This window comes from Homo sapiens, chromosome 2 (assembly GCF_000001405.40).
Source record: "Homo sapiens chromosome 2, GRCh38.p14 Primary Assembly".
NCBI lineage: Eukaryota > Metazoa > Chordata > Mammalia > Primates > Hominidae > Homo > Homo sapiens.
Window position 1 is genome coordinate 185,654,451 of NC_000002.12, and position 11,365 is coordinate 185,665,815.

The 11,365-nt window shown below is 31.5% G+C and overlaps 1 non-coding gene across 1 annotated transcript; it reads left to right on the plus strand.

Annotated features, from left to right (window-relative positions):
• Positions 1-7,323: 7,323 nt before the first annotated feature.
• On the plus strand, positions 7,324-7,456 carry LOC124900518 (U8 small nucleolar RNA). Its single transcript, XR_007088709.1, has one exon. It is a non-coding gene; the product is annotated as a U8 small nucleolar RNA (small nucleolar RNA).
• Positions 7,457-11,365: the final 3,909 nt, after the last annotated feature.

Sequence of the window (11,365 nt, forward strand, 5' to 3'; positions counted from 1 at the left end):
CAAGACTGATAAAAAGAAAATTACCAATATAGGAATAGAAAAGATAACATTGCTGTAATACAGATCCTACAGGTACTGAAAACAATAAAAGGATATAATGGGCAATTTTATGGGAATAAGAAAATTACTAAACAAATTCCTAGAAAAACACAAGTTAAAAATGACTGCAGAAGAAATATAAACACCTGAAGCTTCTGGTGTTTATAAATAAAAGCCTTCTCACGAAGAGGTCAGCTTTAGATGGTCAAAGGTGAAGTCTCCCTAACATCTGAATATCAAAAAGCACCAATGTTGCAAAAAGTTTTCCAGATAACATAAAAAGAATGAACATTTACCATTTGGTCTTAGGCCGTTAACAGAACTTTTATTCTAAATTGTAACAAGAATGTTTCAGAAAAGAAAAATTACTGGCTAATCTCGCTTACGATCATAAATATAAAAATCTCTAACACCATTTTATTGAACAAAATTCAGCTATCTTTTAAAAGGGTAATACATTAAGACAAATGTGATTTATTTCATGATTGTAAGTTAGTTTAAATTGGGAAATTAATGATAAATAGAATAAACAGGAAATTATATGATCATATCAATAGATGTAGAAAATAGTTGATAAAATTCAACATACGTTTATATTAAAACTTTCAGTGACCTAGAAATAAAATAAAACTTATCTATGAAATTTATTCTTAAAAATCCAATTGTATATATCATATTAATATAAAATATTGAAAGTTTTCCCCTTAAGACTGAGAATGAGACAAGGATATTGTTGTCACTACTACTTAACATCACTCTTGAAGTGCTTGCTAATGCAAAAAGACAAAAGAAATAAAACGCGAAGATTAGAGACACAATGAACTTATTGATTTTATAGGCAGCATAATACCATATTTAGAAAATCCAAGAGAATCTACAAACAAGATTAATGAGTATTTAGATACATTGTTAAATACAAGGAAAACTTATAGTTTTAATTTATGCAGTGAAAATGGAAAACTAACAATCATTTGCAATTGCATCAAAAATCAACACATCATAGTCCAGTGAAATATGCACAGAAATTCTATGAAAAAAACTGGGAAGAACTGAAGAAGATTTATATAAAGTAGCATTTTAATCCATTTATAGATTGAAAGATACTATTGTGCAGATGTTGGTTTTATTTTTTACATGTATAAGCTAATTCTAAAATTTATGTGAACATTTAAAAAATAGAAAATAAGATATTGAAGAAAAGTTGTCAGAATTAGACTATTAGATGAAATTAAATATCTCACAGGATAGGGGAATAATTCCCTGATCTTGTAGCCAGGAAAAATTTCTTATGAAGGGAAACATTCTGATCTTAAAGAGAAAGATCAATACATTGAAATAAATTAAAATTTAAGAATTGTTGCCCATTTTCACATATATTAAAAGAGTGAAAATTCAACATGCACAGAGAAATAATATTTATAAATATAATTTTTAAAGTTTTTGAACAAATCAATATGAAACATAAAAACAGGTAAAAGATTTGAATAAATATTTTACATAAGAGGTGATAATAAACATATGAAAATGCACTCAAATCATTAGTTATAAAAACTTTAATTAAAATGGCAATGAAATACTATGACATGGAAACGACAAGTCTGAGACTTCTTACATTGTGGTACATCACCTTATTCCAAATTTTATCAGAACCAATGTCAGACAGCTAATGAGTGATAGACATTTAAAAAAATTAGGCTGTTCTTGTTTGAGATGCCATATAAATATCCATAGGAAGAGGGCCTAAATCAAATACATGTTTATAGAAAAAACGTAACTGTAAGCCAGAAAAACAGTTAAAATTACAGTTTTTATTTATTTTTTCAAACTTAAGAAAAAATTTGTCAGAGTTTCAACCTACAAAATAACACTACTACCCTGCATTTGTAAAATAATTTCACTTTTTGTTGTTTAATAAAAATTATTTTTATTAATTTTTATCAATTATTAAATATTTTAAAAATATTTCACAGGATAGGAGAATTATTCCCTGATCTTGCAGTCAGCAAAAATTTCTTATGAAGGGAAACATTTTGATCTTATATTATTTAGGAGAATAAGAGAATTATTTCTCTGTTTTAAGATCATTATTTTACTAAGCCTCACAATAATTGTATAAGTTTGTCAGAAAATAAGATAGTTTCATAATTGTATTAAAAACTGGTAATTAGGGAGATGAAAAGATCCCCAAAATGAGCCAATCTGTTAAAGTCTTTAATCAAGTGCTAGTTTCTGCCCTCAGCATAGAGTAATCTGTACAGTTTTTAATGCTATTTCAATTTCTTTCAGTAATGACATTATGTAATAGGCACAGAAGAATGAACATAATAACAACTAAGAGCCTTTTATTTCCATTGTTCCTTACTTTTCCTTAAGGATGTCTTGTCTTAGAATCTTCTAAAAGCTTATTCAAGTCAACACTAGTTGTCAACAAGACCAGCAGCAAAGTTTTCATTCTGAAAGCAACCAACATTGCCATTGATTTTTTTTTTCTATACTCTCCATTGGATTTTCTTTCTTCTTTCCTTTCTATTGGATTTCTTATTTCCTCTATCACCTGTATTTTCTTTTCTTAGGTAACCCCATTGTTTTATTAGAGTATATCACTCATTATTCACTGTTAGTTAGGCTGTAAAAATATTTCAGCAGAAAACACAACACAGGTTTATTTTTCACTCATATTAATGCTGGTGTGGATTAGGTGACTCATCAGGGCAGCAGTGACTTAGTGAATTGGGCTAATTTATTCTTGTGACTGTGTCCTCCCTTGTCACTTTGGAGGTAAAGTGGAAAGTGCAGAAATTCCCCATCAACTCTTCAATTCTTAGTCCACAAAGTGGTCCATGTTATTTCCACTCAGCTCAGAAAACTAGGTTCAGAATCTGTATGTTATCTATGCAACTGCAAGGAGGTAAAAAGTATAGTCCATCTAGGTTCCCAGTAAAAACAAGGGAATCTAACGTTGGTAGACAACTTAAATGTTTACAGCAAAAAAAATTTTGAAATTTTTGTATATCTGAAAACAACTTTATTCTACCATCTGTTTTTATTGGTAGTTGATGTTGATATTAAATTCTATGAAATTAATTTAACCAAAATATTGAATAAGTTTTTCATTGATTTATTTTTTCCAGTTGATGCTCTTGATAAATCTAATATCATCATGATTCTTGGACCCTTGAATTCTATAATTGTGTAGCAACATATCTCATGATAGACATTAAAGATGGCATAAAATATCACCCTGGAGATCAATTTCCTTCCATTCCAGAGATTTTTATTTCTTTGGATATTGTTCACAATTTTGTATTATTTCTGTAAATCTTAGTATTTATATTAGAGCAATAGATTGAGACCCTATACTAATTAATCAAAATATTTTAAATTTCTGAAAGCCTTTACTGTATCCCTGCCCTAAATATTTCATGTCTGACTGCTATTTAAAAAAGAAATGAAAGATAAAATAAATGTCTTAAATATTACTTGTCTCGCAGTTGATCAAACATCCTATCTATTTTTCTCCTCTCTCTGAGGCATAAACATCACTTCTGTCCAAATCTAATTACCTCACTCAACAATTTTGTTTCCATCTTCTAACTCTTTTACATGCTTGTTCCTCCATAAGATGAATTTTGAACTCTACCCCACCTTCCTAAGAAGCTGTATATTTGTTTTTTTTATTGAGGTACAATACACATAACATAAAATTAACCATGTTAATATAAACAATTTGGTAGTGTTTAGTATATTTACAATATTGTACAATCACCATTATCTGTCTAGTTCCAAAACATTTTTATCACATATCCCCCAAATTCATACATATAAATATTCATTCCCCATCCTCCACTCCCCCACTGTCCCTTCAGTCCCTGGAAACAAACTGCATTCTCTCTGTATGTATTTATTTAAATACTTTCTATAAATGTAATCATGTAATGGTAATAATCATGCAACTATAAAAATGACCTTTTATGTTTGGTTTATTTTACGAAGCATGTTTTTGAGGTTTATCTATGTTATAGCAAGCTTCAGTCCTTCATTATTTTATGGCTGAATATTATTATATCATATGGATATACCACATCTTGTTTGCCCATTTGTCGGTTGATAAACTTAGGTTGTTTCCACCTTTTGGCTATTGTGAATAGTGCTGCTGTTAACATCCATGTACAAGTTTTTGCTTGAGTATCTGTTTTTAATTTTTTTGGTAAATACCTACGAGGAGAATCCTGGGTCATATAATACTTTCAGATTTAATTTTTTGAGGTACTGACAAACTTTTTCCCACAATGGCTGAATAAATTACATTCCTTTCAGCAAGGTTTAAGAGTGTCTCCTTGTATCTTCACTAACACTTGTTATTTTCTGTTTTTTTGCTTATTTTTGCTTTGTGTGTAGTTATAGCCATTCTAATGGATATAAGATGGTATCTTATTGTGGTTTTGATTTGCATTAGTTACTATGGTGACTAACGATGTTGAGCAACTTTTCATGTACTTCTTGGGCATTTGTATATCTTTTGCTCATACTTAAATTGGTTTATTTCACTTTTTGTTGTTGCGTGGTGAGAATTATTTATATATTCTGCATATATCACCTTTATCTTATATGTGATTTTCAAATATTCACTCCCATTTTATAGGTTGTATTTTAACTTTCTTGATAATGCCTTTGAAGCAGAAAAGTATTTCATTTTAATGGGGTTTAATTTATCTGCTTGTTTTAGATTTTGTTACTTGCATTTTTGGTGTCATGTCTAAGAATCCATTGTCAAATTCAAGGTAATAAAGTTGTAATCATTTTCTTCTAAAAGCTTTATAGTATTAGCTCTTACATTTAGGTTATTTGATTGAGTTAATTTTTGTAAATAGTGTAAGGTAGGAGTCCAACATCAGTCTTTTACTCGGGGATACCAAGTGATCTCAATAGCATTTGTTGAAGACAATTTCCTTTCCACGTTGTGTATTCTTTCCACTCTTGTCAGGGATCAGGTCAAAACAACTGTCCATCAACAGATGAGTAGATTAAAAATGTGACAAATAAATACAATGGATCATCATTTTGCCTTAGAAAAAGAGAAGAATCCTGCCATTTGTAACATGGATGAAGTTGGAGGACATTATGCTAAGTAAAAGAAACTAGTCATAAACGGACAAATACTTCATAGTTCCACTTATATGAGATATTCATAATAGTCAAACTCATAGAAGCAGAGAATATTGATTGCCATGGGCTGGGAAATACGGGATATGGGAAATTGCCAAGCGTTACGATAGATGAATAACAGATCTTCTGTGCAACATAGTACCTATATTTAATATGGTATTGTGCACTTCAAAATCTGTTTAAAAAGGATATCTTGTGTTGTGTTCATATGCTCTCTACAAAAAAATGGACACAAGGAAACTTTAGGAGATATTGGACATGTCTATTATCTTGTTTGTGGTGATGTTCATATATGTGCAAATTCATGAAAGTGGACACATTAAATATGAGCAGGTTTTCTATATCAATAATACCTCAAAAAGCTGTTAAAATTGTGTGACATATAAGAATAATGAAGATATTAATTTAAATGTCATAGAATACTATCGGTGTATCAGTGTATTAAATAGCTCTAAATGCTCATAGTAACTAGAACAACGCCTACCACACAATCGACACTAAATCATTATCAATTTTCTTCTTTTTCTCTCCTTTTATGTTTTAGTTGGTCAATTTTAAAAACATGCATTAAAGAAGATTGACAGTTATTGTCATAATTATATTTTCTTTCAATTTTGTTGTGAAGTTAAATGTAGAGGATTTATATTTCCTTCCACATTAAGAAGAAGATAATCTATTATTAGTTGTCACTGTCATATAAGTACATATTCTTTATTTTTCACAGAATACTGAATCTTGTTCTAGTTAAGTATTTGAACACTTTTAATTCATGTGACTATATGATTATACTTCATATGTTAACTCATGTGACAGAATGAAAAAAATATTATTTCAACTTTTTAAAAAATTTTTTTCTTACAATAGTTTGCAATTATTGAGAAAAAATGAATATATTATTGTTATATATAAGGACACTGTCCTAGAAACTGACCACCATGCACATTAAAATAAATTATTAAAGAAAATAATCAACCTCATCACTATCACCTAACATTTATATTGTGCTTATTATACATGATACACTGTTCAAGTCCTTAAGATTTATTGTTATTCAATTCTCTCAACATTGTTATATTAAGTATTTTTCTTTTATAGATGCAAAAGCCTGAGGCACAAAAAGCTTTTAAAATCTTGCCCAATATTACAGAACTTGGAAGCGTTAGAACTTACAGCTCAACTCAGACAGTCTTCATTGTTTCTGCTCCTAATCACTTGACTGATAGGTATTTTTCAATTTGTGTCATTATTTAAGTTAATGTATTTTACTGATTCCTGAGTGGAATAAAATTTAAATGAGTACATGATTTTTCTAAACTTGTACTAATTTTATATTAAAATATACGTTCATTTGTTATAAATTCATGCAGTTCTGGATTCTGTGAATTACTAATTGTTTCTGGACAAAATTAACAGAGAGAAAATTGTTCTTATATTTTCTAAGGAACAGTTTTATCAGCAGTTTTTTATTTATTTATTTTTATTTATTTATTTTTTCCTGATTGCTTAAGTGTCATTTTGAGGAATAAACTAGATAATGACTTTAAGGAAAAAGTGAAACATTGAATTTCCTCTTAAATATTAACAAGTTTAATATGTAAATAAAATAGCATAAAATATTATATTCCAGAGGTAATTAAAAACGACAATACCATTAAAAGTGCCGTCTTCAAGTGAGATTTTTATATTTTTATTTTTTGTTGCATTTTATGTTTTATCTTTCCAATAGTGAATGAATAGTAAAATACCGTGACTAGTGATAGTAGTGTTCTGTTTATGTTATGTGGATTTCGACATCAAATATCTAGAGAGTGACAAAAAGTGGTGATTTTTAAGAGTATACTACAAAAACCAAATTTGCTAAAGGTTAAATGGTGCTAACAAAGAAATATTAACTGCAAAGAAAATGACATTTTTAAACCTGTCCTAGAATGCACTTTATATTAATATTTGTAAATTTATACATTATACATTGGTTCCTAAAAGGAGATCAGGGGCTATTTTATTTACATAAAATAAAGCAAACTATTACTATTGATATTACTATTTCTAAGTCCTACTTTGATATAGAAAGTGATCATATAAAGTCTGGAAATTATACTTCTTAAATATCACCAGATATTATCAGCTGGGATAATCTTTACCTGTTCCTTCTTTTGGAGGGCAAATTAGGACATGATTGGGGTTCACATAGTATGCGATTAACGTCTCTGAGTAATCAGGACTTCCAGTACCCTGATTGTGCCTATCTGATTCTTCCTGAAAAAAAATTACCAGGAATGATAAAGAGGTGATCACGTATATGGTTAATTATTTTTAAATGTCCATTTATTTATTTAATCTAATGGAGAAGTCAATATTAAAATTCTTGAAATTGTCCAGTTGGCAATAAGTAATATAAAATGCTTTTCTGTCTTAAACTACAGTTTCCAAATACTTCTGTGATGTGAATTCCACTACCTCTAAGCAGAGAAATTTGAGAAAAATACTTTGCAATATAAAAAATATTAACATTATTCACTAATATTTTCAACTTATAAATTTGAACTACATCTGCAATTATACTGAGTATTTTTATAGTGAATATAATTTCTATATATATGTTTGATCATTTTTGCTCTTATGAAAACACAATATACGTTTAGTTTGTATTGTAGAGACATGGAATTTAGTGAAAAATATGCTTCCTTCTATTCCTAACTAGATATTACCACTTGTGGTTTCAATAGGAACCTCACACTTACTGAAGCCATTTTCCAGAGAAGCCAAACCAATAGGATAAATATAGTTATACAATAAGTCCTCACTTAACTTTGTTGATAGGTTCTTTAAGCAAAACAATGTACAGCAGGTCTTCAAATAAGGTTGTTTCCTGTTTCTTTCAATGTTGGTTGTTTCATTATAATGTTGATGAGAAGAAAAACATTGGCTTTGTTATACATATTTTTGCTTAAGCTCATATTTTCCAAGAATTTACTAATGATATTAAATGAGAATTTACTGTAGATAAGAGAAGATATATTATGATAATTGAGTCATGCAATTATGGGGGCTGAGAAGTCCCACAACGTGCTGTCTGCAAGCTGGAGGCTCAGAAAACTTGATAGTATAATTCAGTCTGAGTCCAAAAGCCTGAGAACCAGGGAAGCTAATGATGCCTCTCCCAGTTTAAGGCCAAAGGCCTGAGAACCAGAAAGTGGGAGCAGGCACTGGTGTCCCCAAGTCTGAAGGCTGAAGGACCAGGTGCTCTGATGTCCAAGAGCAGAAGATGGATGTCCCAGCACAAGAAAACAGATGAAGCACTAGCCCTTTCTCTTTTTGTTCTATCCAAATTATTAGTGGATTGGGTGATGCCCACCAACATTGGTGAGAGCAGATCTTCTTTACTGAGTGTACTGATTCAAATACTAGTTTATTCCAAAACCATACTCACAGACACACCCAGAAATGTTTTTCCAGCTGTCTGGCATCCCTTAACCCAGTCACGTTGATAAAAAAGTCAGATATCACAATTATTATTTATATAATCTTCATCAAATTGTTCTCTCTCAAAATATGTTTTTACTTAGTATTCACAATATCATGGTAATATTCTTTCCTAACTAGTGATGCCAAACATCTGCGAATCAAATTACATGAATCTATTTTCCTAATATCCTCCTTCACATCTTAATATTAATGCAATCTTTTTTCCTTTTTTTTTTTTTTGAGACGGATTCTAGCTCTGTCGTCTAGACCAGAGTGCAGTGGTGCAATCTTGGCTCACTGCAACCTCCGCCTCCTGGGTTCCAGCTATTCTCCTGCCTCAGTCTTTTGAGTAACTGGGATTATAGGTGCACACCACCACCCCCAGCTAATTTTTTGTATTTTTAGTAGAGATAGGATTTCACCAAGTTGGCCAGGCTGGTCTTGAACTCCTGACCTCAAGTGATCCACCCACCTCAGTCTCCCAAAGTGCTGGGATTACAGGAGTGAGCCACCATGCCTGACCTTGTTTCCTTTTTTTGACTTTATTTGCAATAATTTATCTTTAGTGATATACTTTTTAAACACAGATTATCTCCAGCTCTTGTTTTTCAACTTTTATCTCTTTTTCATTTTCACATTAGGACAAGAGTGTTTTCTTTTTCTAAAATGCAAAACCAAAGTCATCTTTCAAGAAAAAAATTTTTCAAAAATTTCCTGTTGCATATAGACAAAAGATCAAAATTTTCTAGCCTAGGATGTAAGACCCACAGGCACAACATTCTGGCCTGGTCTACTAGCCTCTTTCACTTTATGTTAAAAATGTAATGAATTGTATCAGTTTCTTAGTCATGTCAAGTACTTTCATACTTTTTCCTAGGCTAAAGGAGAAGGCCATGTGGCTCTCTAGAAGAGACCTAGATAGATTTTGAAAACAACAACTTTGTGGCCTGGGTTAGGTCCTTGATACTGAAACCTAATTACGGGGACTGACAATCACTTTGTTTCTGGTAATTTCCTAAATACAGTTGGATGATGGGTTTTTATAAGAATCTTAAATCCTACCTCACAACCATTATCACATGAGTTGATCCAACAATTTATCCTATAACAAAAGGAACAGGACAGAACAACTTTAATCTAATCACAGTTAACATTTTCCATTTTCTGATCAATAGAATTCAGCAATAACACAAACCTGAATCACCAGATTGATATACTCTGCCCTTCCATAAAATGGGGCTGATTGCAAAAGAGAAAAAATTAATTAAAATAAATGTCCCTGGGAGCAGTTATTAACTAGGTTATAGTATTCTCTACTGGAAAATGCTCAAGAAAAATTAGACGAGGTCATTTTGTGACTGTGGTGGAACAAGATAAATGAAAGACCATTTTGTAATCATGCCCAAATATTATAGAAAAGAAGGACTCTATACCACCGTAAAATGATCAAACCATTTCTTCTTCTGGCTGAAATGAATTACTGCTTTTTCATTACCAATGAGAAACCTGGCTGCAAGTACTTACACCCACCTCTTAGACATAAATTATTTGGAGATCCAGTCATCAAATTGCCCTCACTTTCTGTCAGCACTGAATTCTTGAACTCTCTTCCAATCAGCTAATTAACACACTGTAATTTTTTCTTACCAAGAAGACCCTTTGTATGTAATTCCTCTTGGTGTAGATAATTAATATAGTTAACTCTGCTTAAACACAGTCAATATATTTGTGGCACTCTTTGCACATTGGAATTAAACAAATCTTCATTCCTTTTTCTTCTTTACTCCTATACCCAATCAATCATAGTTTCTTTCAATTGTTCTTAAATTTCAGATATTTCAGTTTTCCATCTCCATTAACTCATTGTAACCACCTGATTCATCCCATATCCATTTTTTTCTGATTTATTAATCCCTAAAAGATCTCCCTAAACTTGAGGTTTGACCCCTCTGCAATGCAGTGAAAATGAGTGTGATAGCTATTTTTTGTGTGTGTGTCAACTTTACCAGGATACTGAAAGAACTGGTAAAATCATTATTTCTGGCTGTGTCTGTGAGAATATTTCTGGAAAAGATGAATGTTTGAATCAGGAGACTGAGTACAGAACATCTTCCCTCATCAATATGGGCAGGCATCATCCAATCTGTTGAGGACAAAAAAAAAAAAACAAAAAAATTTGGAGGAAGTCTGAATTTGAAGTAGGAGATGGGACTCAACTCCAAAGGTGGGGCTTGAACATGGGACCAAATTGAGGACTAGCTAAAACAGGTCAGGAGTGGAAACAGCTTTCCTAAACACACGCCTACCAGTATGCCATGAGAGTTTACCATTGCCATGGCAACACCCAGAAGTTACCACCCCTTTCCATGACAATGACCCAACAATCTGGAAGTTACCACCCTTTTCCCAGAAATTTCTGTATAAACTGCCCCCTAATTTGCATATAATTAAAATTGGATATAAATACTGCAGAACTGCCTCTGTGCTGCTACTCTGGCCACACTGCCTACGGGGTATCCCTGCTCCACAAGGAGCAGTGCTTCTGCTGCTGCTTCAGTACACTGCTGCTTCAATAAAAGTTGCTTTTTAATACCACTGGCTTGCCCTTGAATTCTTTCCTGGGTTAAACCAAGAACTCTTCTGGGCTTAGCTGTCATTTTGGGGCTTGCCTGTCCTGCAGCAAATTCATTGTCTC